This window comes from Homo sapiens, chromosome Y, assembly GCF_000001405.40.
Source record: "Homo sapiens chromosome Y, GRCh38.p14 Primary Assembly".
NCBI classification, from domain to species: Eukaryota; Metazoa; Chordata; class Mammalia; order Primates; family Hominidae; genus Homo; species Homo sapiens.
This window is the reverse complement of record NC_000024.10, coordinates 20104165-20118436: the sequence shown is the minus strand read 5'-3', so window position 1 is coordinate 20118436 and position 14272 is coordinate 20104165. Positions and strand designations below refer to the sequence as shown.

Sequence of the window (14272 nt, the reverse complement as noted above, 5' to 3'; positions counted from 1 at the left end):
TTCATTCTTGAAGTGAGCAAGACCAGGAACCTGCCAGAAGGAAGAAACTCTGGACACATCTGAAGGAATAAACTCCGGACATAACACTTTTAAGTGCTGTAACACTCACCACTAAAGTCTGCAGCTTCATTCTTGAATTGAGCAAGACCATGAAACTGCCAGAAGGAAGAAACTCTGGACACATCTGAAGGAAAAAACTCTGGACATAACACATTTAAGTGTTGTAACCGTCACCACTAAGGTCTGCAGGTTCATTCTTGAAGTGAGCAAGACCATGAACCTGCCTGAAGGAAGAAACTCTGGACACATCTAAAGGAACAAACTCTGGACATAACACCTTTAAGTGCTGTAACACTCACCGTAAAAGTCTGCAGCTTCATTCTTGAAGGGAGCAAGATCATGAACCTGCCAGAAAGAAGAAACTCTGGCCACATATGAAGGAACAAACTCTGGACATAACACTTTTAATTGCTGTAACACTCACCCTAAAGGTCTGCAGCTTCATTCTTGAAGTGAGCAAGACCATGAACCTGCCAGAAGGAAGAAATTCTGGACACATCTGAATGAACAAACTCTGGACATAACACCTTTAAGTGCTGTGACACTCACCGTAAATGTCTGCAGCTTCATTCTTGAAGTGAGCAAGACCATGAACATGAGAGAAGGAAGAAACTCTATACACATCTGATGGAAAAAATTCCGGACATAACACCTTTAACTGCTGTAAAACTCACCACCAAGTTCTGCAGCTTCATTCTTGAAGTGAGCAAGACCATGAACCTGCCCGAAAGAAGAAATTCTGGACACATCTGAAGGACCAAACTCTGGACATAACACCTTTATATGCTGTAACACTCACCGCAAAAGTCTGAAGCTTCATTCTTTCTTGAAGTGAGCAAGATCATGAACATGCCAGAAGGAAGTATATCTGGACACATCTGAAGGTATAAACTCTGGACATAACACATTTAAGTGCTGTAACAATCACCACTAAATTTTGCAGCTTCACTCTTGAAGTGAGCAAGACTATGAACCTTCCAGATGGAAGAAACTCTGGACACATCTGAAGGAAAAAACTCTGGAAATAACAACTTTAAGTACTGTAACACTCACCACTAAGGTCTGCAGCTTCATTCTTGAAGTGAGCAAGTCCATGAACCTGCCAGTAGGAAGAAACTCTGGACACATCTGAAGGAACAAAGTCTGGACATAACACCTTAAAGTGCTGTAACACTCACCACTAAGGTCGGCAGCTTCATTCTTGAATTGAGCAAGACAATGAACCTGCCAGAAGGAAGAAACTCTGGACATATGTGAAGGAAAAACTCTGGACATAACACATTTAAGTGCTGTAACCCTCACCAATAATGTCTGCAGCTTCATTCTTGAAGTGAGCAAGATCATGAACCTGCCCGAAGGAAGAAACTCTGGACACATCTGAAGGACCAAACTCTGGACATAACACTTTTATATGCTGTAACACTCAACGTAAAGGTCTGCAGCTTCATTCATTCTTGAAGTGAGCAAGACCATGAACCTGCCCGAAGGAAGAAACTCTGGACACATCTGAAGGAACAAACTCTGGATATAACAACTTTAAGTGCTGTAACACTCACCGTAAAGCTCTGCAACATCATTCTTGAAGTGAGCAAACCATGAACCTGCCAGATTGAAGAAACTTTGGACACATCTGAAGGAAAAAACACTTTACATAACACCTTTAAGTGCTGTAACACTCAACACTAAGGTCTGCAGCTTCATTCTTGAAATGAGCAAGACCATGTACCTGCCAAAAGGAAGAAACTCTGGACACATCTGATGGAACAAACTCGGGACATAACACCTGTAAGTGCTGTAACACTCACGACCAAAGTCTGCAGCTTCATTCTTGAAGTGAGCAAGACCATGAACCTGCCAGATGGAAGAAACTCTGCAAATATCTGAAGGAACAAACTCTGGACATAACATCTTTCAGTTCTGGAACACTCACCGTAAAGGTCTACAGATTCCTTCTTGAAGTGAGTAAGACCATGAACCTGCCAGAAGGAAGAAACTGGACACATCTGAAGGAAAAAACTCTGGACATAACACCTTTAAGTGCTGTAACACTCACCGTAATGGTCTGCAGTTTCATTCTTGAAGTGAGCAAGACCCTGAACCTGCCAGAAGGAAGAAACTCTGGACACATCTGAAGGAACAAACTCTGGACATAACACCTTTAAGTGCTGTAACACTCACCGTAAAGGACTGGAGCTTCATTCTTGAAGTGAACAAGACCATGAACCTGCTAGAAGAAAGAAACTCTGGACACGTCTGAAGGAATAAACTCTGGACATAACACCTTTAAGTGCTGTAACACTCACCACCTAGGTCTGCAGCCTCATCCTTGAAGTGAGCAAGACAATGAACCTGCCAGAAGGAAGAAACTCTGGACACATCTGAAGGAACAAACTCTGGACACAACACTTTATATGCTGTAACACTCACCGTAAAGTTCTGCAGCTTCATTCTTTCTTGAAGTGAGCAAGACCATGAACATGCCAGAAGGAAAAAACTCTGGACACATCTGATGGAACCAACTCTGGACATAACACCTTTAAGTGCGGTAACACTCACCACCAAGGTCTGCAGCTTCATTCTTGAAGTGAGCAAGACCATGAACCTGCCAGAAGGAAGAAACTCTGAACAAAACTGAAGGAACAACTCTGGACATACCACTTTTAAATGCTGTAAAACTCGCCGTAAACGTCCGGAGATTCATTCTTGACGTGAGCAAGGCCATGAACCTGAGAGAAGAAGGAAACTCTGGACACATCTGAAGGAACAAACTCTGGATATAACACCTTTAAGTGCTGTAACACTCACCGTAAAGGTCTACAGCTTCGTTCTTGTATTGAGCAAGTCCATCAACCTGCCAGAAGGAAGAAACTCTATACATATGTGATGGACCAAACTCTGGACATAACAGCTTTATGTGCTGTAACACTCACCACTAAGTTCTGCAGCTTCATTCTTGAAGTGAGCAAGGCCATAAAACTGCCAGAAAGAAGAAACTCTATACACAACAGATGGAACAAAGTCTGGATATAACACAATTAAGTGCTGTAACACTCACCATCAAGGTCTGCAGGTTCATTCTTGAAGTGAGTAAGACCATGACCCTGCCCGAAGGAAGAACTTCTGGACACATCTGAAGGACCAAACTCTGGACAAAACACCTTTATATGCTGTAACACTCACCGTAAAGGTCAGCAGCTTCATTCTTTCTTGAAGTGAGCAAGACCATGAACCTGCCAGAAGGAAGAATATCTGGACACATCTGAAATAACAAACTCTGGACATAACAATTTTAAGTGCTGTAACACTCACCACTAAATTCTGCACCTTCACTCTTGAAGTGTGCAAGACCATGAACCTGCCAGATTGAAGAAACTTTGGACACATCTGAAGGAACAAACTCTGGACATAACACCTTTAAGTGCTGTAACACTCACCACTAAATTCTGCAGCTTCACTCTTGAAGTGAGCAAGACCATGAACCTGCCAGAAGGAAGAAACTCTATACACATCTGATGGAACAAACTCTGCACATAACACCTTAAAATGCTGTAACACTCAACACCAAGGTCTGCAGCTTCATTCTTCAAGTGAGCAAGACCATGAACCTGCCCGAAAGAAGAAATTCTGGACACATCTGAAGAACCAAACTCTGGACATAACACCTTTATATGCTGTAACACTCACCGTAAAGGTCTGCAGCTTCATTCTTTCTTGAAGTGAGCAAGACCATGAACATGCCAGAAGGAAGAATATCTGGACACATCTGAAAGAACAAACTCTGGACATAACACCTTTATGTGCTGTAACAATAACCACTAAATTTTGCAGCTTCACTCTTGAAGTGAGCAAGACCATGAACCTGCCAGATGAAAGAAACTCTGGACACATCTGAAGGAAAAAACTCTGGACATAACACCTTTAAGTGCTGTAACACTCACTACTAAGGTCTGCAGCTTCATTCTTGAAGTGAGCAAGACCATGAACCTGCCAGAAGGAAGAAACTCTGGACACATCTGAAGGAATAAACTCTGGACATAACACCTTTAACTGCTGTAACCCTCACCACTAAGGTCTGCAGCTTCATTCTTGAAGTGAGCAAGACCATGAACCTTCCAGAAGGAAGAAACTCTTCACACATCTGAAGGAAAAAACTCTGGACATAACACCTTTACGTGCTGTAACCCTCACCAATAAGGTCTGCAGCTTCATTCTTGAAGTGAGCGAGACCATGAACCTGCCCGATAGAAGAAATTCTGGACACATCTGAAGGACCAAACTCTGGACATAACACCTTTATATGCTGTAACACTCACCGTAAAGGTCTGCAGCTTCATTCTTTCTTGAAGTGAGCAAGACCATTAACATGCCAGAAGGAAGAATATCTGGACACATCTGAAGGTACAAACTCTGGACATAACACATTTAGGTGCTGTAACAATCACCAATAAATTTTGCAGCTTCACTCTTGAAGTGAGCAAGACCATGAACCTGCCAGATGAAAGAAACTCTGGACACATCTGAAGGAAAAAACTCTGGACATAACACCTTTAAGTACTGTAACACTCACCACTAAGGTCTGCAGCTTCTTTCTTGAAGTGAGCAAGACCATGAACGTGCCAGTAGGAAGAAACTCTGGACACATCTGAAGGAACAAACTCTGGACATAACACCTTAAAGTGCTGTAACACTCACCACTAAGGTCGGCAGCTTCATTCTTGAATTGAGCAAGACCATGAACCTGCCAGAAGGAAGAAACTCTGGACATATCTGAAGGAAAAACTCTGGACATAACACATTTAAGTGCTGTAACCCTCAACAATAATGTCTGCAGCTTCATTCTTGAAGTGAGCAAGACCATGAACCTGCCCGAAGGAAGAAACTCTGGACATATCTGAAGGACCAAACTCTAGACATAACACCTTTATATGCTGTAACACTCAACGTAAATGTCTACAGCTTCATTCATTCTTGAAGTGAGCAAGACCATGAACCTGCCAGAAGAAAGAAACTCTGGACACATCTGAAGGAACAAAATCTGGATATAACAGCTATAAGTGCTGTAACATTCACCGTAAAGCTCTGCAACATCATTCTTGAAGTGAGCAAGACCATGAACCTGCCAGATGGAAGAAACTTTTGACACATCTGAAGGAACAAACCCTTTACATAACACCTTTAAGTTCTGTAATACTCAGCACTAAGGTCTGCAGCTTCATTCTAGAAATGAGCAAGACCATGTACCTGCCAAAAGGAAGAAACTCTGGACACATCTGATGGAACAAACTCGGGACATAACACCTGTAAGTGCTGTAACACTCACGACCAAGGTCTGCAGCTTCATTCTTGAAGCGAGCAAGACCATGAACCTGCCAGAAGGAAGAAACTCTGGACACAACTGAAGGAACAAACTCTGGACATAACACCTCAAAGTGCTGTAAAACTCACCGTAAAGGTCTGGAGCTTCATTCTTGAAGTGAGCAAGACCATGAACCTGCCAGGAGAAAGAAACTCTGGACACATCTGAAGGAACAAACTCTGGATATAACACCTTTCAGAGCTGTAACACTCACCGTAAAGGTCTGCAGCATCATTCTTGAAGTGAGCAAGACCATGAACCTGCCAGAAGGAAGAAACTCTGCACACATCACAAGGAGCAAACTCTGTACATAACACCTTTAAGTGCTGTAACTCTCACCACTAAGGTCTGCAGCTTCATTCTTGAAGTGAGCAAGATCATGCACCAGCCAGAAGGAAGAAACTCTAGACATATCTTATGGAACAAACTCTGGATATAAAACCTTTAAGTGCTGTAACGCTCACCAATAAGGTCTGCAGCTTCATTCTTGAAGAGAACAAGACCATGAACCAGCCAGAATGAAGAAATTCTGGACACATCTGAAGGAAAAATACCTGGACATGACAACATTAAGTGCTGTAACACTCACCGTAAGGGTCTACAGCTTCATTCTTGAAGTGAGGAAGACCATGAACCTGCCAGAAGAAGAAACTGTGGCCACATCCGAAGGAAGAAACTCTGGACATAACACTTTTAAGTGCTGTAACACTCACCCTAACGGTCTGCAGCTTCATTCTTGAAGTGAGCAAGACCATGAATCTGCCAGAAGGAAGAAATTCTGGACACATCTGAATGAATAAACTCTGGACATAACACCTTTAAGTGCTGTAACACTCACCGGACAGGTCTGCAGCGAGATTCTTGAAGTCAGCAATGCCATGAACCTGCCAGAAGGAGGAAACTCTGGACACATGTGAAGGAATAAACTCTGGACATAACACCTATAAGTGCTGTAACACTCACCACTAATTTCTGCAGCTTCATTCTTGAAGAGAACAAGACCATGAACCTGCCACAAGGAAGAAACTTCGGACACATATATATGAACAAACTTTGGACATAACACCCATCAAGCGCTGCGGGACTCACCACTTAAGGCTGCTCCTACATTCTTGAAGTGAGCAACACCATGATCGTGCCAGAAGGAAGAATTTTTGGTCTCATCTGAAGGAACAAACTCTAGACCTAACACCTTTAAGTGCTGTAACACTGACCGTAAAGGTCTGCAGCTTCATTCTTGAAGTGACCAAGAGCATGAACCTGCCAGAAGGAAGACAGTCTGGACACCTGTTAATGAACAAACTCTGGACATAACATCTTTAAGGATTGTAACCTCACCACTAAGGTCTGCAGCATCATTCTTTGAAGTCAGCAAGGCCATGAACCTGCCAGAAGGTAGAAATTTTGGACACATCTGAAGGAAGAAACTCTGGACATAACACCTTTAAATGCTGTAACACTCAGCTTAAAGGTCTGCAGCTTCATTCTTGAAGCTAGCAAGACCATGAACCTCCCAGAAGGAAGAAACTCTGGACACATCTGAAGGAATAAACTGTGGACATAATACCTTTAAGTGCTGTAACACTCACAGTAATGGTCTGCAGTTTCATTCTTGAAGTGAGCAAGACCATGAACCTGCCAGAAGGAAGAAACACTCTACACATGTGATGGAACAAACTCTGGACATAACACCTTTGAGTCCTGTAACACTCACCACCAAGGTTTACAGCTTCATTCTTGAAGTGAGCAAGACCATGAACCTGCCAGAAGGAAGAAACACTCTACACATGTGATGGAACAAACTCTGGACATAACACCTTTGAGTGCTGTAACACTCACCACCAAGGTTTACAGCTTCATTCTTGAAGTGAGCAAGACCATGAACCGGCCAGAAGGAAGAAACACTCTACACATGTGATGGAACATACTCTGGACATAACACCTTTGAGTGCTGTAACACTCACCAACTAAAGGATTACAGCTTCATTCTTGAAGTGAGCAAGACAATGAACCTGCCCGAAGGAAGAAACTCTGGACACATCTGAATGACCAAACTCTGGACATAACACCTTTATATGCTGTAAAACTCACCGTAAATGTCTGCAGCTTCATTCTTTCTTGAAGTGAGCAAGACCATGAAACTGCCAGAAGAAAGAAACTCTGGACACATCTGAAGGAACAAACTCTGGATATCATACCTTTAAGTGCTGTAACACTCACCTTAAAGGTCTGCAGCTTCATTCTTTCTTGAAGTGAGCAAGACCATGAGCATGCTAGAATTAGGAATATCTGGACAAATCTGAAGGAACAAACTCTGGACATAACACCTTTAAGTGCTGTAACACTCACCGCTGAATTCTGCAGCTTCACTCTTGAAGTGAGCAAGACCATGAACCTGCCAGATAGAAGAAAATCTGGACACATCTGAAGGAAGAAACTCTGGACATAACACCTTTAAGTGCTGTAACACTCACCACTAAGGTCTGCAGCTTCATTCTTGAAGGGAGCAAGACCATGAACCTGCCAGAAGGAAGAAACTCTGGACACATCTGAAGGAACAAACTCTGGACATAACACCTTTAAGTGCTGTAACACTCACCGTAAAGGACTGGAGCTTCATTATTGATGTGAGCAAGACCAAGAACCTGCCAGAAGAAAGAAACTCTGGGCACATCTGAAGGAACAAACTCTGGACATAACACCTTTAAGTGCTGTAACTCTCAACACCAAGGTCTGCAGCTTCATTTTTGAATTGAGCAAGACCTTGAACCTACCCGAAGGAAGAAACTCTGGACACATCTGTAGGACCAAACAATGGACATAACACCTTTATATGCTGTAACACTCACCGTAAATGTCTGCAGCTTCATTCTTTCTGGAAGTGAGCAAGACCATGAACCTGCCAGAAGAAAGAAACTCTGGACACATCTGAAGGAACAAACTCTGGATATAACACCTTTAAGTGCTGTAGCACTCACCGCAAAGGTCTGCAGCATCATTCTTGAAGTGAGCAAGACCGTGAACCTGCCAGATTGAAGAAACTCTGGACACATCTGAACGAACAACCTCTGGACATAACAACTTTAAGTGCTGTAACACTCACCACTAAGGTCTGCAGCTTCATTCTTGAAGAGAGCAACACCATGAACCTGCCAGAAGAAAGAAACTCTAGACACATCTGACGGAACAAACTCTGGACATAATACCTATAATTGCTGTAACACTCACCACCTAGGTCTGCAGCTTAATTCTTGAAGTGAGCAAGACCATGAACCTGCCAGAAGGAAGAAACTCTGGACACATCTGAAGGAACAAACTCTGGACTTAACACCTTTAAATGCTGTAACACTCACCGTAAAGGTCTACAGCTTCATTCTTGAAGTGAGGAAGACGATGAACCTACCAGAAGGAAGAAATTCGGGCCACATTTGAAGGAACAAACTCTGGACATAACACTTTTAAGTGCTGTAACGCTCACCCTAAAGGTCTGCAGCTTCATTCTTGAAGTGAGCAAGACCATGAACCTGCCAGAAGGAAGAAATTCTGGACAAATCTGAAGGAACAAACTCTGGACATAACACCTTTAAGTACTGTGACACTCACCGTAAAGGTCGGCAGCTTCATTCTTGAAGTGAGCAAGACCATGAACCGGCCAGAAGGAAGAAACTCTATACACATCTGATGGAACAAACCCTGGATATAACACATTTAACTGCTGTAACACTCACGACCATGGTCGGCAGCTTCATTCTTGAAGTGAGCAAGACCATGAACCTGCCCGAAGGAAGAAACTCTGGACATATCTGAAGGACCAAACTCTGGACATAACACATTTATATGCTGTAACACTCACCGTAAAGGTCTGCAGCTTCATTCATTGTTGAAGTGAGCAACACCATGAACCTGCCAGAAGGAAGAATATCTGGACACATCTGAAAGAAAAAACTTTGGACATAACACCGTAAAGTGCTGTAACACTCACCACTAAATTCTGAAGCCTCACTCTTGAAGTGAGCAAGACCATGAACCTGTCAGATGGAAGAAACTCTGGACACATCTGAAGGACCAAACTCTGGACATAACACCTTTACATGCTGTAACACTCACCGTAAATGTCTGCAGCTTCATTCTTTCTGGAAGTGAGCAAGACCATGAACCTGCCAGAAGAAAGAGACTCTGGACACATCTGCAGGAACAAACTCTGGATACAACAGCTTTAAGTGCTGTAACACTCACCGTAAAGGTCTGCAGCATTATTCTTGAAGTGAGCAAGACCATGAAATTGCCAGATTGAAGAAACTCTGGACACATCTGTACGAACAAACGCTGGATATAACAACTTTAAGTGCTGTAACACTCACCACTAAGGTCTGCAGCTTCATTCTTGAAGTGAGCAAGACCATGAACCTGCCAGAAGGAGGAAACTCTGGACACATCTGAAGGAACAAACTCTGGACATAACACCTTTAAGTGCTGTAACACTCACCACTAAGGTCTGCAGCTTCATTCTTGAAATGAGCAAGACCATGAACCTGCCAGATGGAAGAAACTCTGGACACATCTGAAGGAACAAACTCTGGACATGACATCTTTCAGTGCTCTAACACTCACCGTAAAGGTCTGCAGCTTCATTCATGAGGTCAGCAAGACCATGAACCTGCCAGAAGGAAGAAACTCTGGACACATCTAAAGTTACAAACTCTGGACATAACAACGTAAGTGCTGTAACGCTCACCACTAAGGTCTGCAGCTTCATTCTTGAAGTGAGCAAGACCATGAGCCTGCCAGAAGGAAGAAACTCTGGACACATCTGAAGGAAAAAACTCTCGAAATAACAACATTAAATGCTGTAACACTCACCGAAAATGTCTGCAGCTTCATTCTTGAAGCTAGCAAGACCATGAACCTGCCAGAAGGAAGAAACTGGACACATCTGAAGGAACAAACTCTGGACATAACACCTTTAAGTGCTGTAACACTCACCGTAATGGTCTGCAGTTTCGTTCTTGAAGTGAGCAAGACCATGAACCTGCCAGAAGGAAGAAACTGTGGACACAACTGAAGGAACAAACTCTGGACATAACACTTTTAAGTGATGTAAAACTCACCAATAAGGTCTGGAACTTCATTCTGGAAGTGAGCAAGTCCATGAACCAGCCAGAAGAAAGAATCTCTGGACACATCTGAAGGAACAAACTCTGGATATAACACCTTTAAGTGCTGTAACACTCACCGTAAAGGTGTGCAGCTTCATTCCTAAAGTGAGGAAGACCATGAACCTGCCAGAAGAAGAAACTCTATACACATCCGAAGGAAGAAACTCTGGACATAACACTTTTAAGTGCTGTAACACTCACCCTAACGGTCTGCAGCTTCATTCTTGAAGTGAGCAAGACCATGAATCTGCCAGAAGGAAGAAATTCTGGACACATCTGAATGAATAAACTCTGGACATAACACCTTTAAGTGCTGTGACACTCACCGTAAAGGTCTGCAGCTTCATTCTTGAAGTGAGCAAGACCGTGAACCTGCCAGAAGGAAGAAACTCTATACATATCTAATGGAAGAAACTCTGGACATAACACCTTTAAGTTCTGTAACACTCACCACCAAGGTCTGCAGCTTCATTCTTGAAGTGAGCAAGACCATGAACCTGCCCGAAAGAAGAAATTCTGGACACATCTGAGGGACAAAACTCTGGACATAACACCTTTATATGCTGTAACACTCACCGTAAAGGTCTACAGCTTCATTCTTTCTTGAAGTGAGCAAGACCATGAACATGCCAGAAGAAAGAATATCTGGACACATCTGAAGGAACAAACTCTGGACATAACACCTTTAAGTGCTGTAACAATCACCACTAAATTTTGCAGCTTCACTATTGAAGTGAGCAAGACCATGAAAATGCAAGTTGAAAGAAACTCTGGACACATCTGAAGGAAAAAACTCTGGACAAAACACCTTTAAGTACTGTAACACTCACCGCTAAGGTGTGCAGCTTCATTCTTGAAGTGAGCAAGACCATGAACCTGCCAGAAGGAAGAAACTCTGGACACATCTGAAGGAACAAACTTTGGACATAACACTTTATATGCTATAACACTCACCGTAATGGTCTGCAGCTTCATTCTTTCTTGAAGTGAGCAAGACCATGAACATGCCAGAAGGAAGAAACTCTAGACACATCTTATGGAACAAACTCTGTATATAACACCTTTAAGTGCTGTAACACTCACCGTAAAGGACTGCAGCTTCATTCTTGAAGTGAAGAAGTCCATGAACCTGCCAGAAGGAAGAAAATCTATGCACATCTGATGGAACAAACGCTGGACATAACACCTTTAAGTGCTGTAACACTCACCGTAAAGGTCTGCAGCTTTATTCTTGAAGTGAGCAATACCATGAACCTGCCCGAAAGAAGAAACTGGACACATCTGAAGGACTAATCTCCGTACATAACAACTTTATATGCTGTAACACTCACCGGAAGGTCTGCAGTTTCATTCTTGAATTGAGCAAGACCATGAACCTGCCAGAAGGAAGAAACTCTAGATATATCTAAAGGAAAAAACTCTGGACATAAAAACTTAAGTGCTGTAACGGTCACCACTAAGGTCTGCAGCTTCATTCTTGAAGTGAGCAAGACCATGAAGCTGCCAGAAGGAAGAAACTCTGGACACATCTGAAGGAACAAACTCTGGACCTAACACCTTTAAATGCTGCAAAACTCACCACTAAGGTCTGCAGCTCCATTCTTGAAGTGAGCAAGACCATGAACATGACAGAAGGAAGAATATCTGGACACATCTGAAGTAAGAAACTCTGGACATAACACCTTTTAGTGCTGTAACACTCACCACTAAATTCTGCAGCTTCACTCTTGAAGTGAGCAAGACCATGAACCTGCCAGATTGAAGAAACTTTGGACACATCTGAAGGAACATACTCTGGACATAACACCTTTAAGTGATGTAACTCTCACCACTAAGGTCTGCAGATTCATCCTTGAAGTGAGCAAGACCATGAACCTGCCAAAAGGAATAAACTCTGGACACATCTGATGGAACAAACTCGGGACATAACACCTGTAAGTGCTGTAACACTCACCACCAAGGTCTGCAGCTTCATACTTGAAGTGAGAAAGACCATGAACCTGCCAGAAGGAAGAAACTCTGGACACGTCTGAAAGAACAAACTCTGGACATAACACCTTTAAGTGCTGTAACACTCACCATAAAGGACTGGAGGTTCATTCTTGAAGCTAGCAAGACCATGAACCTGCCAGAAGGAAGAAACTCTGTACACATCTGAAGGAAAAAACTCTGGACATAATACCTTTAAGTGCTGTAACACTCACCGTAAAGGTCTGCAATTTCATTCTTGAAGTGAGCAAGTCAATGAACCTGCCAGAAGGAAGAAACTCTGGACACATGTGAAGGAACAAACACTGGATATAACAACTTTAAGTACTGTAACTTTCACCGTAAATGTCTGCAGCATCATTCTTGAAGTGAGCAAGACCATGAAACTTCCAGAAGGAAGAAATTCTAGACACATCTGAAGGAACAAACTCTGGACATAACAGCTTTAAGTGCTGTAAAACTCACCGTAAAGGTCTGGAGCTTCACTCTTGAAGTGAGCAAGACCATGAACCTGCAAGAAGGAAGAAAGTCTATACACATCTGATGGAACAAACTCTGGACATAACACCTTTAAGTGCTGTAACACTCACCACCAAGGTCTGCAGGTTCATTCTTGAAGTGAGCAAGACCATGAACCTGCCCGAAGGAAGAAACTCTGCACAAAACTGAAGGAACAAACTCTGGACATAACACTTTTAATTGCTGTAAAACTCGCCGTAAACGTCCGGAGATTCACTCTTGAATTGAGCAAGGCCATGAACCTGAGAGAAGAAGGAAACTCTGGACACATCTGAAGGAACAAACTCTGGATATAACACCTTTAAGTGCTGTAACACTCACCGTAAAGGTCTGCAGCTTCATTCTTGTATTGAGCAAGTCCATCAACCTGCCAGAAGGAAGAAACTCTATACACATGTGATGGAACAAACTCTGGACATAACACCTTTATGTGCTGTAACACTCACCACTAAGGTCTGCAGCTTCATTCTTGAAGTGAGCAATGCCATGAAACTGCCAGAAGGAAGAAACTCTATACACAATAGATGGAACAAAGTCTGGACATAACACAATTAAGTGCTGTAACACTCACCACCAAGGTCTGCAGCTTCATTCTTGAAGTGAGCAAGACCATGAACCTGCCAAAAGGAAGAAACTCTAGACACATCAGATGGAACAAACTCGGACATAACACCTGTAAGTGCTGTAACACTCACCACCAAGATCTGCAGCTTCATTCTTGAAGTGAGCAAGACAATGAACTTGCCAGAAGGAAGAAACTCTGGACACATCTGAAGGAACAAACTCTGGACATAACACCTTTAAGTGCTGTAACACTCAACGTAACGGTCTGGAGCTTCATTGTTGAAGTGAGCAAGACCATGAACCTGCCAGAAGGAAGAAACTCTATACATATCTGATGGAACAAACTCTGGACATAACACCTTTAAGTGCTGTAACACTCAACACCAAGGTCTGCAGCTTCATTCTTCAAGTGAGCAAGACCATGAACTGCCCGAAAGAAGAAATTCTGGACACATCTGAAGAACCAAACTCTGGATATAACACCTTTATATGCTGCAACACTCACCGTAAAGGTCTGCAGCTTCATTCTTTCTTGAAGTGAGCAAGACCATGAACATGCCAGAAGGAAGAATATCTGGACACATCTGAAGGAACAAACTCTGGACATAACACCTTTAAGTGCTGCAAC

General features: G+C 42.8%; 1 annotated feature.

Annotated features, from left to right (window-relative positions):
- Positions 1755–2954: an enhancer, noted in NCBI's record as "BRD4-independent group 4 enhancer chrY:22277369-22278568 (GRCh37/hg19 assembly coordinates)". NCBI's record gives its function as "activates an origin of replication core promoter dependent on BRD2, P300/CBP, MED14 and CDK7 cofactors, and independent of BRD4, by STARR-seq in HCT116 cells {active_cell/tissue: HCT116}" and the evidence as "EXISTENCE:reporter gene assay evidence [ECO:0000049][PMID:35650434]".